General features: G+C 43.2%; 1 protein-coding gene across 2 annotated transcripts in view, besides 5 other annotated features; it reads right to left on the bottom strand.

Annotated features, from left to right (window-relative positions):
• Window positions 1-17,573, bottom strand: part of PTPN1 (protein tyrosine phosphatase non-receptor type 1) — a 74,859-nt gene extending 57,286 nt beyond the window's left edge. For both annotated transcript variants that reach the window (NM_002827.4, NM_001278618.2), the window contains exon 1: window positions 17,366-17,573. In NM_002827.4, coding sequence (NP_002818.1) covers window positions 17,366-17,428 — 63 coding nt within the window. In that variant the 5' untranslated portion in view covers window positions 17,429-17,573. The remainder of the gene's footprint in view (window positions 1-17,365) is intronic.
• Window positions 7,281-7,330: a silencer, noted in NCBI's record as "silent region_13022". NCBI's record gives its function as "represses an Ori minimal core promoter by ATAC-STARR-seq in GM12878 lymphoblastoid cells {active_cell/tissue: GM12878}" and the evidence as "EXISTENCE:reporter gene assay evidence [ECO:0000049][PMID:35858748]".
• Window positions 17,500-17,599: an enhancer, noted in NCBI's record as "active region_18091". NCBI's record gives its function as "activates an Ori minimal core promoter by ATAC-STARR-seq in GM12878 lymphoblastoid cells {active_cell/tissue: GM12878}" and the evidence as "EXISTENCE:reporter gene assay evidence [ECO:0000049][PMID:35858748]".
• Window positions 17,710-17,939: a silencer, noted in NCBI's record as "silent region_13021". NCBI's record gives its function as "represses an Ori minimal core promoter by ATAC-STARR-seq in GM12878 lymphoblastoid cells {active_cell/tissue: GM12878}" and the evidence as "EXISTENCE:reporter gene assay evidence [ECO:0000049][PMID:35858748]".
• Window positions 17,710-18,399: a biological region, named in NCBI's record as "H3K27ac-H3K4me1 hESC enhancer GRCh37_chr20:49126094-49126681".
• Window positions 17,812-18,399: an enhancer, noted in NCBI's record as "H3K27ac-H3K4me1 hESC enhancer chr20:49126094-49126681 (GRCh37/hg19 assembly coordinates)". NCBI's record gives its function as "activates a minimal SCP1, AML or CMV promoter by ChIP-STARR-seq in naive H9 embryonic stem cells {active_cell/tissue: H9 hESC(naive)}" and the evidence as "EXISTENCE:reporter gene assay evidence [ECO:0000049][PMID:30033119]".

Raw genomic sequence — 21,223 nt, 5'->3', positions numbered from 1 at the left:
GTGAATGAGATGGCTCAAAAAGAACAAAAGGGCTAAATGAAAGCAGCAGATTGGGTAAACCCTGTAGGAACTCCTCAAGTTGAGGAACAAACAGAGAAGACACCGATGAGTAAGGTCTAGGACTAGCTAGAGAAGCAGGAGATATAAAAGAAAAGGAAAAAATAGAGTTATTAAAACAGGGAAGGGAATATTCAATATGCAAATACAGGTCTACCACACTGAACTGCATTAAAATTAGGATGCAAAATATCCACTGTATTAGTAACAAGGAAGCAGATCTTGTCAAGAATTATTTCAGGCCAGGTGCGGTGGCTCACACCTGTAATCTCAGCACTTTGGGAGGCTGACGGGTGGATCACTTGAGGCTAGCCTGGCCAACATGGTCAACATGCCAACAAGCCTGGCCAACATGGTGAAGCCCCATCTCTACCAAAAATACAAAAAATTAGCCAGGCGTGATGACAGGCACCTGTAATCCCAGCTACTCAGGAGGCTGGGGCAGGAGAATCGCCTGAAGCCGGGAGGCAGAGGTTGCAGTGAGCCAAGACTGCGGCACTGCACTCCAGCCTGGGTGACAGAGCAAGACTCAGTCTGGAAAAAAAAAAAAATTATTTCAGTGGCTTGGTAGCATAGAGCCTCACTTCCCTGGAAGATAAACACACAGAGTGACTGGAAGATGAACGATGGGCAGAGTGACCTATTTACTTCAAAAATTTCAACCAGAGAAGGAGAGTATAAAGCAGTGGCTGGAGGGGCCGTCTCGGCTGGAGGAAGCTGAGAACGTTGAACTGGCATACATAAGATGATAATAGGGAGGGCCTGGGATCCATTCCTCGAGAGTCACCAACCCCTTATTGCAAGATGCCTTGAACAGGTGAGATGGGAAGGGGTCAGGAGCGCAGACTCTAGGAGCAAAGGCTCCTTTTCCCCTGTGAGAGAAATGAGGTGGAAAGGATGGCAGGTAAGCTTTAGATCTGATGGCCAGATGCTGGGGGAGACAGATTTGGGATTAAAGACTGGATTTCTAGGGGCTCAATACTGGGGGATTTTTTTTCCAGCAGCGCTTAGGAGCCTGGGCCCAGGAAGACAAAGACAGGGGAAGAGCCTGCTCCAGGGCTAGAGGTGGTAGGTAAGAAGATGGACACAAGTACAGTGGAGAGGCAGCATCTAAAGTGACTGACCACAGTCTCAGATGCATAAGGAGGGAAGTGAGGAGGCTGCGGTGGGGGGAGGAGAGAAACAGCTGGAAATCTGAATAAAGGAGAAAACCCAAACTAGAGAAAGCAACTGAGCGAGGGAATCTGGCAGCACAGAGGCTGTAACTAGAGAGCAGAAGGTCTGAGCTTAACAGTAGGTCAAAGGTAGAGACTATCTCAACTGCCAGGGAAGGAAATAGCTGGAAGAGAGGAACAGGAAGTTCCCTGGGACATGAGGTGATGATGCTGGGTGGGCTGCCCAAATGCACTGACATGGGCCAGGGGTGACAGAAGCCTTGATATGGAAAGACAGGTTGTGAGCCAGGTAAACTAAGGGGAGTAGGGAATGCTGCAAACAGGCCCATTTAAAATACAACTAAGCTGGGCATGGTGGCTCACACCTGTAATCCCAGCATTTTGGGAGCCCGAGGCGGGAGGATCACTTGAGTTTAGGAGTTCAAGACCAGCCTGGACAACATAGTTAAGACCCTGTACCCCACCAAAAAAATCATTAAAAATAAAATTAAATTAAATACAACAACAGAAGGCAAGCAATTAAGCAATTCCCCACTATGGCAATTTATTGACTAGAAAGCTTAAGTCCTAAGATACATACATGCATACAAATACATACAGTGAAAGAGAGAATCTGCACGCGCACACACACACACATACACCCTATGTGCTCCCCCGCACCCCTCAGGCATTTTCACTCTCCTCCGCAAATCAGAAAACAAAAGCATAATCAAACTGGGGTCTTCTGCAGAGTTTGGTCTTCTATCCAGGATGCCTTTTTATCACTCATTATTACTCATCCCCTTCTTCAAAACTGCTGCCTCCCCCTGCGACAGTGGCCATATAACGGCTACACTTCAGTGATTCTGTCAAGGAGCTTATGAACTATGGTTCTTTTACCCCATATATCTACTTCTGCCACATGTTCCATGGTATCCACTCAGTGACACATAAATGACTCCAAAAGAAAACAAGAAAGAGAAAAAAAAAACTCATCATTCAAAAAAATAGTCAAAATACCTTTTTATTCTCCTTTGTCATCCATTTTTAAGGAAAACCTTTCCCCTTTCAGACGTTTAAATGATTTGTAGTCAACAACTATCAAAAAACAATCATCAAAAAAAAAAAAAAATCAAATCCAGGACTACTTCTGTATATAATCCTCATAGCTAGAATTAGAAACAGGAAAAAAGGGGAGATGTTTTCACAATTTCAGTGGTTTGCAGACAGCTAGTTCTGTTATCTATATGGCATATATGGCAGAGAGACTGCTTCTATATGGCAAGCGAAGAATTTAATAAATGTGTGAATGGTAAACGGGGAGCAATCAGGAAATCATTCAGAATTAATCAACATAATTTTTGTATTTAAATTTAAGTAACCAGGCCAGGTGCGGTGGCTCACGCCTGTAATCCCAGCACTTTGGGAGGCCGAGGCGGGCGGATCGCCAGAGGTCAGAAGTGCGAGACCACCCTGGCCAACATGGTGAAACATTGTCTCTATTAAAAATAACAAAAATTAGCCGGCTGTAGTGGCGGGTGACTGTAATCCCAGCTACTCAGGAGGCTGAGGCAGGAGAATCGCTTGAACCTGGGAGGCGGAGGTTGCAGTGAGCCGAGATCGTGCCATTGCACTCCAGCCTAGGCAGCAAGAGCAAAACTCCATCTCAAAAATAAATAAATATAAATAACCATAAAAATATCAGAATCTGTAATCTGAAGTGTTACAGTACCTAAAAATTCAGTCTTATCACTTAGCCATTTAAAAGTAAGATAATTATCAGTACACTTGAGTTTTTTAATAAGGTACTTGACTTGAAAGAATCACTCAAAGCTATCTGTGTACTGAGAATTGCTAATAAGAGCACATAGGCTGGGCATGGTGGCTCACGCCTGTAATCCCAGCACTTTGGGAGGCTGAAGTGAGTGGATCATGAGGTCAGGAGTTCGAGACCAGCCTGACCAACATGGTGAAACCCTTCTCTACCAAAAATACCAAAAATTAGCTGGGCGTAGTGGCAGGCGCCTGTAATCCCAGCTACTTAGGAGGCTGAGACAGCAGAATCGCTTGAACCCGGGAGGCGGAGGTTGCAGTGAGTCGAGATTGCGCCACTGCACTCCAGCCTGGGTGACAGAGCGAGACTCCACCTCAAAAAAAAAAAAAAAAAAAAAAAAAGACCACATAATGGGATAAACCAGCCAACATCATTGAAAATATCCCTTAAAATTCACAACAACTAAATGAGACCTTTATTCTCATAGTGGCAGCTGCAAGTCAGTGAACTAGGCACATGTTTTCAATATATTCCTAGTGGGAAGGCTAAAACTTGAAGATTCTTTTAAAAAATCTTTACATATTAAAATATAATTTTTTTTGTACAAATCAAAGATTATCTGCATACATACTTGGATAAAAGTTATCACTTCACTTCAATGAATCCTGTACTGCCTGCCTACTAATTACTGTGCACTGTTGTTGGTGTTCTAGGGCTACAAAATTTACAATGAAACAAATATCACCCTCCTGGAGAAGACACCTACACAGATGCCTTCACTATCTGGTCGCATGAGCTCAAGGCCATGATGGAATAACCTCCACTAGGCTACCCTTCTGGAAGCGTTTAGAGGCCATATGGCAGTCGAGGTTAAAAGTAATGGCAGAGGAAACATGAAAAGGAAGAGAGGAAAAATATATACAATAAGAGAATAATGCATATGCATTGTGTGAGGGGGTAGCAGAGAAAGGTTAAGACCAAAGAGGAAGGAAGTGAAATATGATCTCACCCTTTCAAGCCTAGGTGACACTTAATATGAACAGAGACGGACAAGAAGTCAATCCCAGATTAGGGAGAGACTCAGAGAATATACAGGCTCACTCCTCCTTGCCCTTCAGAACTTCAACTAGATATTACCTTTATACACTATCCTTTATTTGTTTTGCCTGCTCCCAATCCCAATTAGATACCTTTTCCTGAGCATCCCCACAGCACCTGGAGCCTAGGCCTGTAAGAGCTCTTATCACTGTGAACTGAGATTATCTTTATTCAGCCACTTTGTCTGCTGGACTACTGAACTTCCTAAGGGCAGGGACCAAGTTTGTCTTCCTCACCACATATCCCAACTGCCCAGCACAGAGCCTGGTACCTAGTAGCTGTTCATGTATTATTTTTTGAATGACTGAATCAACAGACACTGGCTGCAAGGAGCTTACAATCTAGACGAGAAAAGCAAATGAAAGATTGACAAAAAGCTTCAGAGAAATTGGTCCTGAGTGGTTGGTTTTAATTTCACATACACAAAAAAGTATAAAGCAGCCATGCTGTCATGCCATATGATCCCGGAGTGCTAAAACACTGAGCTGGTTTTGTCCTTTTGGGAAGGGTTCTCTGAAGCTTCGGAGCATTCTCCGAATGTTCTATATTTAAACACCCCACCACCTACCAGATGCTTCCCTGGACGTCCTCTAACAACATGGTCACAACCAGATCACCATCTTCTTTGCACACGTTCCTTTTCCTGTGTCCCCACCTTGATGAGGGGCTGCATCTTCCATCTAGCTATTTCCCTAATCTGGAACATTCCTCCCGTTTCCTCTTCTTCCCCTTCCCCCACATTCGATAAATCACCAAATCCTCCTGATCTGAGACGGTAAGGCATAGAGACTAAAAATACAAATACCTGGCCGGAGGCAGTGGCTGATGCCTGTAATCCCAACACTTTGGGAGGCCGAGGTGGATGGATCACCTGAGGTCAGGAGTTCAAGACCAGCCTGGCCAACATGATGAAACCCCATCTCTACTAAAAATACAAAAAAAAAAAAAAAAATTAGCCGGGCATCGTGGCAGGCACCTGTAATCCCAGCTACTCGGGAGGCTGAGGCAGGAGAATCACTTGAACTCGGGAGGCGGATGTTACAGTGAGCTGAGATCGTGCCATTGCACCCCAGCCTGGGCAACAAGAGCAAAACTCTGCCTCAAAAATAAATAAATAAATACAAATACCTTTCCCTCTGGAGAAAGGTACAAAACTTAGGACAAAGACCTTGACTGGGTTATAATGGTAAAGAATCATCCTTATCTATTGCTTGTTCTAATTTGCCATACACAACATACCTCTATAGAGTAATAGGTGTTCAAGAAGGATCAAAGAAAAAGCATGTTCTACAACATAATATGTACTTTTGTTGCTAAAAGGGAGAGACCTTTAACAAGATACATTCCTCCCTGCAATGTATGTATTTATTTTATTTTATTATAGCTATGAGGATAAGGTAGAGCAACCATTTAGTCATGAAGTTGGACACATGACAAATGGTATCACTCCTGACCAAGTCACAAAGCAAGTCATTAAAAACCTTACTTCGTAGCCGTCTCAGTGCAAGCATATTTGGTCACCTCATTCTTTTATCAGCCCCCATTAGGCCCACCCAATGTAACTTCAAGTTGGTCATCAAAAATAGTTCCTGGAAATAACTGAACATGGGACAGAAATACAGCCACACTCAGTTGCCTGAGGTGGGAAAAAATGGTGGTGGCTTCTAACTTCCTCAAAATAGCAGAAGGAGGCTGAGGATAAAGAGAAAAGAGGAAGGGCGGGAAGGGAAGGAGTACCTGGCCAATGATTTTATCCTAGACTTTACTGTCAAGGGCACTCCCTCAGGCCACCAACCCTTTAGCCCTTTGCTTCAATTTTATCTAACGATAATATACCAAATACCTACAAGGCCAAGCATCACATAACATTAACATCAAGCTTGACGAGAAAACTCAGCTTGGGGTAGGGGTTGCAAACTCAAGTGCTAGGTAGTGTACACCGACAAGGACAGTGTGACCCACTGTGGGACTGTGGTAAACTCTGCAACGCACACATGTACATCCAAAAGGAGTTGTGTCCCTCAGTCCAGCAGACCACTGCCAGTGTAAGCTCAGACGGTGTGATTTTCAGATTTTTCAAGAGAGGCCAGAATCCAGAGTTGCATGTCATTTCTCCTGATTCATTTATAAACAATGGCACAAATTAAACTCTTCTCTTTTTTAAAAAGCATTGCGTGAAGCAAGCAAAATATGACTGTGGGTGGCCAATTTGTGACATCTAGGAAAGAGGTTAGAAAACTAGGCAAAGGTCAAAAACTACAAACTCTCTCCTCCTATGTCCTAATAAATCGGGGAGGCTTAGCACAATCCCCTGTCTCTCTTCACAGCCATGTATGTGGAAGCTGAAGCAGTGGCCACACTGCCATAGTGCTATTGTGAAGCTGAATCCAGGACACAGGAGAAGACTGAGGGTCTGGGACCTCATTGTCCTCCTGAAACATTTCCTGCTGTTATAGACCAATTGACAGTATATAATAAACAGCATTGCATGTAAAGGACTTTGCACAGTGCCTGAGGCACAACACAGAATTCAATAAATGTTAGCTATTAGTGGGTTTTATCCTGAACAAGGGTAGAACATGCAGCAGACTGTTTCTCTCTCAAATGGAAGATTTTTTAGTCCAATTACAAAATCCAACATTCCTCTTTAGACAAAAGAAGAATTTCAAAAGGAACTACATTCATCCATGTGGCATTCAGGAATTTTAAAATATAATGTGACTTATGCCCCCACAGGGCATTTTATTATTTTTAAGGAAATAATGGGTTTTTTTCAAGTTTTAATTTGAGTTAATATGAAATTTTAAAGTTCTGTCCCACTTTTAGATTAGGGGGATCAGGCACAGCCATATAATGCTACCATATCTAGCATGAGTAAGGCATGAAGCCCCAATTTTTCCAGAAAGATCACCCCACCCTCTGGTCTTCTCCTGTGACCATGTCTTTGTAGAAAGTTACATCTAGGTAATGCTATATGGCTGTCTAGTCTAGTCTAATGACTACATTTTACAGATCCTGTATGCAACTCCTCAAAATCCCACAACAGTCAAAGGCAGAGTCAGAACCCAAACCCAAGTCTTCTTCTTCCTGAGTCGTCTTCTTCCATGACCTCACATGTCCCCTCCTGTGAGTGCACATGCTCAGGGTGGCTGCTTCAGGGGAGCAGGGCAGCTTGAGACTAAAGCTCTGAAACACAACTGTTCTGTGTGAAACTAACCAGTACTGGAGACAGATACAGGCACCTACCCTTAGGAGCAAAATGTTCTATCAAGCAAGGGCACAGGCTGGGGAAGGTTTCCTATACACAGCCCAGCAAAGCCTTGCTTCAGTACATTGCAGGCGTGGTCATAATCTTTTACAAATCCTCTAATATCAACTGTGCCTTTTTAACCACTAGCTTGGAACAAGAATTTCATACCTGTATGAAAGAATATAATTTACTTGCTGGAAAAGTAGAAGTGTCACAAAGCAAAGAAATCACTTAATTTTTTTTTTTTTTTTGAGACAGAGTTTCACTCTTGTCCCCCAGGCTGTAGTGCAATGGTATGATCTCGGCTCAATGCAACCTCCGCCTCCCAGATTCAAGCGATTCTCCTGCCTCAGCCTCCTGAGTAGCTGGGATTACAGGCATGTACCACCACGCTCGGCTAATTTTGTATTTTTAGTAGAGACAGGGTTTCACCATGTTGGTCAGGCTGGTCCTGAACTCCGGACCTCAAGTGATCCACCCACCTCGGCCTCCCAAAGTGCTGGGATTACAGGCGTGAGCCACCATGCCCGGCCGGAATCAAAGATTTTTAAATACTGTCACTATGCTTCCAACTGTCCAACTTCCAAAGTACTGAGAAAATATTTTTTGAAATGTAGCCAAGTATAGAATATAGACTGTGTCCTACATTCAAAAGTTGTCTTTCTAGAAAGCATGTTTTAATGGCAAAGGATACAAAGCAAGCTGTAAAAAGAGACTAAAATTAGCTCAAACCACAAATAACCTAACATACTTATCACTTCCTTATGATCAACCTACAAAAATCAAACTTTAAAGGCACTTACAAAACTAAAGGTGGGAGGCCAACTGCACCCTTTAACTTCGCTATACCTTTCCTCCTTCTAACATGGACCCTGGCACATAAACACTGCCAAACGATGACACTGTGTTAACGTGAAGGCAAGCACCAGGGAAACTACGGGAGCACAGTTTTGCCCTGTAAATAAAACAGCATGTACCATGCAGTTCTTAAGTGGTTAGAAGGGTAACTACCTCCTCAAACTGAAGATGGGAAATGCAGATGAAGGCCCACACCCATCTTCAGCTGCATTTCACAGACAGCTAAGGACATACCACGCTCCCACTTCAAACAAAATATTCTTCCATCTTCTAAAGCCATCTATTTCCTACTTTCAAAAGCAACATCTTCCAAATCTATTGGGAAACCAAAAGTTTGTTACCATTCGAGTAGTGGAACAAGTTGCAAAATGAGGTTTAGTTGACAAATATGTATTCATGGGTAAAAAAAAGGCACTGGGTTTGTTAAACTACATCTACTTTTTCAGTGATTCTCTCTCTGAGTGTATTAACTATGTCTGATAAGTTTTGTGATAAATTTTTTGGAGAAACTTCAAGCTCACAAAGGATGAAAACAAGTGGTTAAGGATGAGTACAGAACCTACCAATACCACTGTGCACACTCCAATACTGTTACTCAAACTTTCAAAAGCATTTTCATTAGCAGGTAGAGAAATAGGGGCAAGTAGCAGACCTGGGTAGTTATTTGTGGTGTGAACAGACCAAACAAAATACTGATAATGGCACTAATATTCCTAAGATTTATTCAAGAAAAACTGTCAGTAAGACATGAAGGAATATTTAGAAATGCTCAGAAATGACACCATGATAGGTACATAAAGGGCCCATTGAAACCCAGCATTCTAGGGATGTGGATTCTCAAGGAATATTCAAGAGCAACCTTTAGGTGTGGCTAAACCAGGTTGTATTCTGGGGACTGCTCCAAAAATTTGGTTTTATGCTTGTATAAACCTGATGTAGCTTAATGTAACTTTCTGATCTTGGCCCCATTCTGCCTCACCCCACCTCGGAGCATGATCCTTAACACTATGGCAACAGGGAGGTGGCGTCCAGGTAGTAGAGAACAATAAGAGTAATGCTCTTAATTCAAAAGTGCTGTCAAGATACAGTTCAGTTCAGAGTAAAAACAACAAAGCAAAACAATGACAACAACAACAACAAACCAAAAAATGACATATTCTCTCCCTGCCCCGAAAAAAAAATTCACTGGGTACCTTCTTAGAGGCCTCTTTTCTCTGTGCAAAAGTTAGCCACAAAAATATTTATGACTCAGTGAAGGCGTATTTTCCCTTTATCCTTACAGAAGCAAACTAAGCCCTGACTATTTGAAAAGTGAAACAGTAGTTAACAGCGACAAATGTTCAAACATCAAGGAGAGTTAAAGCTAATTTACCATGTTATGCTAAATGCAGTTTGCTTATTTGTTCTCTTGAGTGAAGTTATATTCAGAAGTGACTTCATCCTTAGACATTTTTAAGTAACTCACGTTCTTAAGAGAACTCTATTTGGAATAATTACTTGATGTTCACTTTCCTGTAAGAAATTCGCAATAGTGTACAATCCTGTAACCGGGGCCCATCTGGATAAAAATTAGCTAAGCTGTTTGCTGTAATGTAACGTAGTGACTTTTAAGTAAGATTCTGCAAAAGGAAGAGAAGTGCCAATAAAAGATCCATTAAGAAAGGAAAAAAGTCGAAAAACGTTTCTTAACAGAGACAAGGGAAGAGTTTTCCTTTTCTAATCACTAAGAAATTTTTAAAAATTATTTTGAAAGCCTAGTTTTGCTATGCTCATCTTATCTTTGCAAGTGATGTTGCTCACCCACAAAAGCCACAAACACAGCCGAGGCTTCCTTCTTCATCTGTAAAAGTAAAATATACCTCAGTCTCTAGGAAGAAACATCTGAAAAGTAAAGAGAAGGAGACAGGGACACAAGCCTACTTGGGACCCAAAACTTTACTTCAAGTGGTTAATCCTCAAGAAGGATTTAGAATTTCCCAGCACTAGATTCAGAGTAGTAAAGAATACGTTTATTTCCCAGAGAAAATGCAGACCTTAAGTGTCCCTTTGCCATGTTTACTCTGAGTCCATATTACAGAGCTGACTTCAGAGCACTAATTCTATCTAATTACCATAGGGTATCCATAAAACCTTACTGCCTTAGTAAAACCATAAGCACTCAGTAAATCGAACGATGTCATACGTTTTTCTCTTAAAAAAAGGGCTGGGCCGGGCACAGTGGCTCACACCTGTAATCCCAACACTTTGGGAGCCTGAGGCAGACAGATGGCTTAAGCCCAGGAGTTCAAGACCAGCCTGGGCAACACAGCAAAATCCCATCTCTACTCCAAAAAAATACAAAAATTAGCTGGGCGTGATGGCACATGCCTGTAGTCTCAGCTACTTGGGAGCCTGAGGTGGGAGGATCACTTGAGCCCAGGAGGTGGAGGTTGCAGTGAGCCAAGATTGTGCCACTGCACTCCAGCCTGGACGACACAGCAAGACCCCATCTCAAAAAAAATATTAAAAAAATAAACTTTAAAAGGACTGAAAATCATTTATAAGTACTTGGTATTATTTTATTTGTAGTAGTGTGACTTGTACCAAAGCCCAGAGATCAATAGATTTGATGGCTACAGTTTTCTTTGGCTGTTTCAGGGCAGGAGGGAATCTTCCATGTGAAATGGTCTTATTTTCAGTTTTCATACAATCAAAATTTACAAGCTGTCAGCAAGATACTCATGATTATGTCAAGCTGCTTTGAAAAAGGAGAGGGCAGCAGCTATTAAACTCTAAAGACCATTTCTACACAAAGTAAAGCATTATTTCTAAAATGCTGGAGACTTAGGTACTTTCTTCTCAAATATGGCAGATGTGTAAACTATCATATTATTCAAATGAAACTTAGACCAGATGTAGGTTTCTTCCTAAAATTACAACATAAAGGGCAACTATTCTTTGCATACCTAGTTAGGGTTGAAGCTTTCGTAAATTCTCAAGAATCAGTTCCTCTATCTTTTACAGGAAAAGCCACCCAATTGCTACTTGAGAGAAAAACTGCAAAAGCATAGCGTACGTGTCAGGGCTACTCATTTTCCACATTACCAAGTCAAATGAACTCTATTTATCAAAAACATTTCATGCCCCTCGGGAAAAAACACCCCATTCTTTTGAGTTGTTAACTATACTCACAAAGCTCCTATAAACTTTTGAGCCTAATAGTACCCAACCACACCTTACAAAACTGAGTAACTGCTGCAGTTTTTACAAGGATTATTCAGGAACATTAAATTGTATTTGTGAGTACATTAAGGATTTTTATTACTTGACCTGAACTTAATGATCAGTTAGTCCAGGATCATTTTTACAAGGGAGAAACCAAAACCCAAAGAAAGTAAGGGACTCACTCAGCACTGTTAGTATGACAGCTGAGACTGCAACTATACCCAGACACAGGGGACACTAGAAAAAGCAAAACATGAAACTACTCTCTTGCCCCTAAGGGTGGTCTGATCAAAGGCCAAAGAATGTCATTACCATTTATAGTTTGAAAAAAAAAATCAAAGACTTGGTAACAGTCGTTATTTTATGGAGAACTATATTTTATATCCCAAAATCAAAAAGTATTTTATGAACCAACCACATGCAAAGGCCCGCTAGGCTTGTGAGAACCAGTCAGGAGGGATGAGGGAAGAGGAATTCAACAATTCTTAGAGAGACAAACATATTACCTCCAAGTTGCCTGTAAAGTTCACCGTAGGCCAAGCACAAATTTATTGTTATATTTAAAGCTTCTGTGAAACAAATCAGTGGTATCAGCTTCTACTGGCTAAGAATGCCAGCCTTTCTTCCAAAGCCACTGCAGCAGGCAATACTAAATTACCTCATTAGGCCATGACTCAAAATGTGGTGGGGGCCTTCTCCCAGAGTGACCTCTACTATTGGTACTAATGTGGGCTAATCTATTTGTTTCCATCATTGCCCCCCTAGAGTGGGAGCCAGGAACATGTTTTGTACATCTTTATACCATCAGGCTAGCAAAGTACTGACCATCAATTCAATCCCAACTCTTGTTAGGTACCTACTCTGTGCCAGGAGCAGAGGACTTCAAGATGAATGAGAAAGATACAACAGGTGGCCTCAGGAAGCTTGGGCTCCATTGGAGATAGACCTGGGATATAAAGTAGCAGCTACAGCTGGGCACAGTGTCTCATACCTATAATCCCAGCACTCTGGGAGGCCAAGGCAGGAGGATCACTTGAGCCCAGGAGTTTGAGACCAGCCTGGGCAATATAGTGAGACCTTGACTTTATAAAAATTTAAAAAAAAAATGTTTGTAAAGACGCAGCTACAATGACAGCAGGGCTTTAGAAGAGATATGTGCCAGCTTGTATGAAAACACACAGGTGACGGAACAAAACTCTGGTGCAAGGAAGCACACATTCGAGCTGGAAGATGCAAGCTAGATTGAACGGGAGAGGCATCCTCAACAAAGTGCTCAGCAATGGTATAGAGGAATGAAGGGCGAGGATGAGTTTGGAGAACGCTGCCCTTTCTTGTCTGGCTAGAATGGAAGCCACATAGGAGGGAAGGACTGGAAGCTGGCTGCCATGCTAAAGAGGAGTTTGGACTTTACAAGTGTTATGAAAGAATCAGAAGTAGTTGCAGAGGAGTGAGAGACTCAGATCTGGTTTTAGAACAATGAATTACTCTAGTGATGATGGGACCATATTAACGGGTAACCGGCTTCACTCATTTCTGCAGTGTGAAACTAGAAACCATTGCAGGCTCATAAGCAACATCTGAGAACCTAGACTACTAGTGTGGTGGAAAGGATGCCATAGTGACCAACCAGTGAAATGTGGCAGAGGGAATCACCAACTACTCCAAAGTCCCCAGCCCTCCTGGATACTCAAAATGTGAACATGGAATGGCTGGTGCCAAACTACATCATCTGGGAACAATGACCCAGCTAGAATTCCAATTTTCCTGAATATGGGCAGCATAAAGTAACATGCCCAGCCGATTTGCCAGTATTAGTTGTTACCAGAAACAAATCAGCATAAACACTGTAGGGAGGAATGCCAAATTGTGCAAAATATATATAGGCTCAGGCAGGCCTCAGAAAAAGTACCTGCTCACGCCTGCAATCCCAACTTCAGGAGGCCAAGGTGGGAGGATCGCTTGAAGCCAGGAGTTCAAGACCAACCTGGGCAACACAGCAAAACCCCATTTCTATTTAAAAGAAAGAAAGAAAGAAAAAGCAGTGCTAGGAACAGAAATTGCCAAAAGGATTCTGTAATCTACAAGATCACAAGACAGTTTTCTTTAACAAAGAGAAAAGGGAAAGAATCACACAACAAAAGGCCGTTATTTCAGTAGCTAAGTCAAAAAACCTCCACAGGAAATTTCTTATTCATTTCCACTGTGAAATTCAGTACACATTCAATTACATTATTCAATACCAGGTATTTTAATAGGTTTTGAGGAGCTATTCAAGATAAAATGCAAAATGGAGGAGAAGTAACGGCAGATAACTTGCAGCTAAGAAACAGCGGCATTACCATTATCCCCCAGCTGACTTTTTAGAACCACTGGTTGGTTTACTTACTTCCAAAAACACCAAAGTATTCCTATAAATATGCCAGTGATGTCAAATAACAATAGCAAAAAGTTCTTTCCTTCACTATTTCTACTTGTGCTCCCAGTTAATCTAATATCAGTCCAGACAATTACAAAGGCATTTACACCATTTCCAAAGTACTGATCAGACACCTAAATTTAGTTCACTCAAACCAGGGCTAAACAAGAACATTTAGATCTAATGGGTCACTCAAGATGACTAGAACTTCCCAGTCTCTCCATGTCATTTCCGTTAGTCTTTTTTTTTTTAAGTGAAGTGAGTCATAGTGTATAGATCTTTCTCCTTTGCATAAAATAGTTTTTTTTCCTCTGAAGAAAATAGTATTTAAATAAACATTATTGGCAAATTTTAATATTCATCTTTTTGGAATATAACAACATAAGCTGTATATCAGTAAGGAATTTTAGTGAACTATTGTTACAACATGGTTTTAACCTAGTCAGGCATTAGATTGTATTTCATAATGAAAACAGCTATAAAAACAAATGTCAATTGGAAGAGTGGCCCATTTTACAAAGCCTGCCTCTAACATGAATAAATCTTGCCTTCATGTCACAAGGTATTATTGCAGTCCCCTTTATCTGAAACAATCAAATCATTCACAATGAAATATAGTGAGTGGTGTCAGAGAATCAAAGAATTTACAGACGAGAAAACAAGCAAAACACCGGACCCAACCCCTCTTAAACTACAGATGGAGGGGAGCACATGAGCTATTCTTTTCATTCACTCAACCCTCTCTCCTCTCATTCTAGCTCAGTAAAATCAATCTCTTTTCCTCATCTGGGCTCATTCTCTCCTCTTAGACAGCTAGGCCCAATCAAGCAACCGGATGATTTGAAAGTGTTTAAATGCTAGAAAACAATGTTTAAAGCCATCTATATACACTATCAAAGCTGACTTTTTATAGACCTAGATGCTTATTAGCATCTATGCTATTCATTAGCATTAAAGATTAAAAATACGGTTATGCTCACTTTATCAAACTGACCTAGCAAAGAATCTCTGCCTAAAAAGTTTGTTTTCCAAGCTGCCACATTCCTCAGCACTCAAAAGTCCTCTTCACTCTTTGTTCTTTTCCCAATAGTTTTCAAGTTTTTACATCTTTTTGTTCTAATCAGAAAATAAGTTAGAATAACTGACCTGCTTACCAAGTTGTAAGCAAAAATTACATTATTCTCTGATCACAATAGGCTAGGCAAGCTCAAAGTATGACTTTGTATAAGGCTGCCCTCATTTCAACATGCTATAAAGTATTAATTTTTTTAAACTTCCATTTTCTATCAATTGTAAACACATTCTTTGAATCCTTGAAAAATAATGGTTTTGGTAAAGCGATACACACCTTGGAAAGTTAGCCACTTTAGACTCAAGGTCATCTGAACTCTGTTTCAGAAAACGCTACAGTTGTATGACAAAGAGCTACTTTTACACTTAGGAGAAAAGCTTCTGATTTCAAGATCTTAGAAAAGAAAAATATCCATACAGTGGAGGTGAGAAAAGCTGGCCCTGACAATTCTCTAAGACCAAAAGAAACTACCTCAGGGAATGTGGCAATCCATTAAGAAGCAGTGAAAATCTCAACACCTTGACTAACTTGTGGGGTTTAATTGTGGCAGAAAAACTTAAGAACAATGAAGGAAATGAATTGAAGACTGACACACTCCATGCTAGTTGCATGCTGAATACAATTTTAACCATGCTTGGGTGACAGGTCAACCCACTCTGGCTTAAAATTGTAAGAAATAAAATTCAACTAAGAACTAAGTTACAATACGTATTTCTTGTTGTCAACTCAGTCAATTTCAGTGGAAAAGACTTCTCTCCACAATGCTTCCACTGTGATGGGGTGTATCATAATCAACTCCAACACTTCAGACCAACAATTTTCATTTAAAGACATTTTAGACTCTACTGCATTAAACTGATGCAGAAAATTTGTCTACACAGTCTCAAAGTCCCTTATGGAATTCATTCAGCTAATTCAGAGACCAGATATGGCATACAAATTTTATATACTGATCAATCATACTTATTAGTATATAGATTACAGTGGTTAGAAATATTAGTCTAGCAGAAACTAATATACACACTACAGTCCAAATAAAAAGAATCCTGTCAAATAAGCTTGATGTAAATCCACATGAAAATCAAGGCTGCCAAAAAAAAAGGCTTTTGTTAGTCAAGCATACCAAAGAACTGCTTAAACCTTTTTTCCTTTCTAAGCGGAGCTCAAAATAGATTTTAATACTACAGCTGATGGATCTCACAATTTGCCTTTTGAGCCTATAAGCTGAAAACAGAATCATCTGCTGTCTCCCTTTACACAAGTAACAAAATCTCTCTATTCTGTATATCGCTTATTTAAGATACTGTGCAAGTGTGGTTTTAGTTAATCTTAACAACCCCCGCAATGACATTTAATTGGGAGTATGTATCTTATTCAGCTGCTTGTGAAAGGAAGAGCTCTTTGTGTTTTTAACTACTTGTTTTATAGATATATGAGAAACCCTCCTTTCCTAACTTTTTAACACACAAGGAGATGACTCCTAAGACAAGGTCATCTCTGCCACGACCAAAGACTAAGCTGCTCATTGAGGAAAGATGCTATTTTAGAGAGGGTTAAAACGTTAACCTTCCTGAGTCCCTGCCTGAAAGAATAATATCATGGCCCCAATGGAGTGGGTACCGCAGGCCTCCTGGCTAGAAGGTTCTTTAGCCCCATATTCTCACGGCTTTCTGCTCCTCTTGGTTCAGCTCACAAAGCAAATGTCTCCTCCTTTGACAGGCCTTCCCTGATCCCCTTCTCTAAGACAGCCGGCCTTCTATGCAGTCACCCTGTACCCCGTTAGGAAGTCGTTCTCTTCACAGCACCTGTCACTATCTGAAATTATTTGCTTTTGTGTTTGATTGCCCTATTCGACTCTAGGCCCCACTAAGGCTAGGATCTTGCCTGTCCTGATTAGCAAACACCACCTCCAATGCCTAAGCGGTGCCTAGCACAGAATAAGCTTGCCAACTCCTATCCAATAAATGAATGAACAGAAAGGGGAAAGGGGACTGTCATCTCTGGGACTCGACGCACACTGAGACTAGGGGAAAGGAAATGTGAAGGAGGGACGGGGGGAGTAACCTTTTCCCCCAGGGAGACAAAGGAAGAGAGTCTGAGGTGGTCCACTCCAGAAAAGGAAATAGTGGGGGTGCTAAATCACCCCAGGGGACAAAGAGTGGACAGGCAGGGGGCGGGGTCGGGGTGCGAGGGATTCGCGTTGAGAGCACAGACCGGCGGTCCCCCGGCTTGAGAGATCACCCGAGCTGGAGAACAGAAGGGAGGTGGGGGATCGAAGGGGGCTCCGACGCTGCGGCGAGAAACACGCCCGCCCCGGGGACAAAGGGTGGGGGGACGCAGTGCGTCGCTGTCCCATCGAATCCTCAAGCAGTAGGAGCGAGGCAGAGGGCAAGACCCAGAGGGAGTCTGGGGCCTGGAGGTCTGAGGGGATGTTCAAGCGGCCTAAGCGAAGGGCCCGCCACGCTCCGGGGCGCTCCCGCACCTGGTAAATGGCCGCCCAGCTCCCGGACTTGTCGATCTGCTCGAACTCCTTTTCCATCTCCATGACGGGCCAGGGCGGCTGCTGCGCCTCCTTCTCGGCCCACTGCGCCGTCTGCCGCTCTAGGCCGCGTCGCGCTCTTAGCCCCGAGGCCCGCTGCAATCCCCGACCCCTGCAGCTACCGCCGCCCTAGCCGCTGCTGCTTCTTCATGTCAACCGGCAGCCGGAACTACGCATCACGCCTGCCAGGGGCTCCGCCCCTGAAGCAGAAGGACCAATCAGCGATCGAGAATTTCGACAAGCACTTCCGCGGGGAGGAGCCGGGGGCGGTGCTAGGGGAAGTGGCCCCAGCACCGCGAGATATCTAATAGCGCGCGTTCCCTCCTCCGCTTTGGGGCTCTGGGCTCGGGCGCGGCGCGCGCCTGTTGCCTAGGCGACCCCGGGAGCCCCGCCCACGGCGCGTGGGCTCTCCAGGCCCGGGAGGGCATTGAGTTCCAGCCCCGACCCGGCCCGTTGAGTCACAGAGTGAGTGGCCTTAAAGTAGTCATGCACCTCCTTTCCTGCAGGGCCTGGGCCCCAGCCTCAGTAATCCAAGCTGGAGTATGGGAGGAGGGCACCGTGCTCTATTTCCTGCCTCCCAGCTCTGGCCAGATGTCTGCCCTTTTTTCATGAAACTCAGGAGTATCATGTTTCACTACGCTGCTGGGGAAGCCCACTGCTCTCTAAGGGTAGTGTCCCTGTCTGAAACGCAGAATTTCCACTTGGGTGCTGCAGGAATGAATGGATGGGGATGGAATGATTTTCAGTGTTTCCCGAAGTATCAAGGAACTCCTGCTCAGACTGAACTAAGCAGAGCACAAATTCCATGGTGCATTATGTTAAATAAAAATCATAGGAGCCCAGGCGCGGTGGCTTACATCTGTAATCCCAGCACTTTGGGAGGCAGAGGCAGGCGGATGTCTTGAGGCCAGGAGTTCCAGACCAGCCTGGGTAACAGAATCAGACCTCGTCACTACTAAAAGTTAAAAAATTAGCCGGTGTGGTGGGGCCCAGCTGCTGGGGAGGCTGAGGCAGGAAGATCACCTGAGCCCAGGAGGTGGAAGCTGCAGTGAGCTGTTTTGGCGCCACTGCACTCCACCTTGGGTGGCAGAGAGAGACCCTGTCTTGAAAAAAAAGGGCTGGGTGTGGTGGCTCACACCTGTAATCCCAGCACTTTGGGAGACCGACGCAGGTGGATCACCTGAGGTCAAGAGTCCGAGACCAGCCTGACCAACATGGTGAAACTCGGTTTCTGCTAAAAAAAAAAAAAAAAAAAAAAATTAGCCGGGCGTGGTGGCGCATGCCTGTAATCCCAGCTACTTGGGAGGCTGAGGCAGGAGAATCGCTTGAACCCTGGAGGCAGAGGTTGCAGTGAGCCAAGATAGCTCCACTGCACTCCAGCCTGGGCAACAAGAGCGAAACAAACAAACAAAAAAAGTTCTGGCATTAGGGTCTCAACAGACTAGACTAAAAATCAAAATGGAGTCACTCATGCTAAAGTTCTACATCATCAGACTGATAACCTTTCACAAAATCAGAAGAGAGATACACACCCTGATTTCCCAAGCAGACCGTTTTAATCAACATAATGAAGTTCCCTTTGCTTTAATCCTTACAACAAAAAGTAACCTGAAGTAACCCGATGCGACCAATCAGTTATTTCTCTCTTGTTCTGTTTCCCTGTTCCTGCCTTACAAGGAAAGTAACTTTGAAATGACCAATCTGCTTTTTGTTCTTTGTTTCTGCTTTTTTCAGCCCTTTTCTGTCTATAAAACCAACCTCCTCTGCTCAGCTCATTGGGACACTTGTGCTATTTTGAGGAATGAAGTCTTGCCCGATTCTAGAATCATGAATGAAGCCAATTAAGATGTTTAAGTTTGTTGTAATTTTGTCTTTTGACATTTACGGTCACCTGGGAAGTGTGTTGAATAATGCAGGTTCCTGGACCCATCGCCAAATGATTCAGATATCTTTGGTCTAGGGATGAGACCCGGAATCTGCATTTTCACCAACAACTCCAGCTGATTCTCGTACCTATGATCCTTAAAGCACCCATGAGCAGGTTGGTCAGGTTGCCTTCCTGCAGGCTCCAGTTTAAACCATCCCCCTCTGGGCCTGGCATGTCATGTGGACGTTGTGAATTCCAGGAGGTTTGAAAACCTGGAAGAGAGAATTGTCTTCATTCCGTGTTGCCCAGAGACACTGCCTGGTATTATCAGCTGAACTCCAGCTCATTCCTTGAGTGCTTGTGGCAGGCACTATGCCTGGAATTCTAAGTACACATTCCCATTCAATCTCCACAACAACCCTTCAATACAGGTGCTATTATTCCCATTTTATAAACGAGAAAACTGACTGGCTGTGGTGGCTCACGCCTGTAATCCCACCACTTTGGGAGGCCGTGGTGGGTGCATCACTTGAGGTCAGGAATTCGAGACCAGCCTGACAAGCATGGTGAAACCTCAACTCTACTAAAAATACAAAAATTAGCAGGGTGTGGTGGTGCATGCCTGTAATCCCAGCTACTCGGCAGGCTGAGGCACAAGAATCACTTCAACCTGGGAGGCAGAGGCTGCAGTGAGCTGAGATTGCACCACTGCACTCCAGCCTGGGCAACAGAGCAAGATCCTGTCTCAAAAAAAAAAAAAAAAATTAGCCGGCTGTGGTGGCGTGCACCTGTAGTCCCAGGTACTCAGGAGGCTGAGATGGGAGAATCACTTGAGCCTGGGAGATTGAGGCTGCAGTGAGCCATGATCATGTCACTGCACTCCAGCCTGGACGATAGAGTGAGACACTGTCTCAAAAAAAATAAATAAATAAAAATAGGCCAGGCCTGGTGGCTCACACCTGTAATCCTAGCACTTTGGGAGGCTGAGGCAGGTGGATCACCTAAGGTCAGGAGTTCAAGACCAGCCTGGCCAACATGGTGAAAGCCTGTCTCTACTAAAAACACAGAAAATAGATGGGTGTGGTGGTGCACACCTGTAATCCCAGCTAATTGGGAGGCTGAGGAAGGAGAATGGCTTGAACCTGGGAAGTGGAGGTTGCAGTGAGCCGAGATTGAACCACTGCACTCCAGCCTGTGCGACGGGAGAAAGATGCCATCTCAAAAAATAAATAAATAAATACAATAAATTAAATTAAAATAAAAATAAAAAATTAGATGAGGGGGGGACCGGGTGCGGTGACTCATGCCTGTAATCGCAGCACTTTGGGAGGCTAAGGCGGGTGATCGCCTGAGGTCAGGAGTTCGACACCAGCCTGATCAATATGGTGAAACCCCATCTCTACTAAAAATACAAAAAAATTAGCCAGCCATGGTGGCGTGTGATTGTAGACCCAGCTACTCGGGAGGCTGAGACAGGAGAATTGCTTGAACCTGGGAGGCAGAGGTTGCAGTGAGCCAAGATCACACCACTGCACTCGGGCCTGGGTGACAGAGCAAGACTCTGTCTTAAAAAAAAAAAATGGATGAGGAAACTGAAGCACAGAGAGACAAAATTACTTGTCCAGAGTAGCATTGCACATTGGTATGGAAACCTGCATTCTAGCCTGGTTTCCAGAGCCTGCTTTGGAGCCAGGCTTCGTGGGTCCAGGTTCCAGCTGAATAAATACTAGTGGTGCAAACTTGGGCAAATTTTCATTAGTCTCTGCTCTCCTTTGTAAAACAGAGATAATAAAAGTGCCCACCTCATAGGGCTGATGTGAAGGTTGGATGAGTACATATCATGCTCTTAGTATACTGAGTGGCTCAATAAATATTAACTGTCATTACTACATATCTTTAAATAATAGCAAATAAAGGAGATAAATGAAATGTTA

This window comes from Homo sapiens, chromosome 20 (assembly GCF_000001405.40).
Source record: "Homo sapiens chromosome 20, GRCh38.p14 Primary Assembly".
Taxonomy (NCBI): domain Eukaryota; kingdom Metazoa; phylum Chordata; class Mammalia; order Primates; family Hominidae; genus Homo; species Homo sapiens.
The sequence above is the reverse complement of the archived record's forward strand: the minus strand, read 5'-3'. Positions and strand labels throughout refer to the sequence as shown.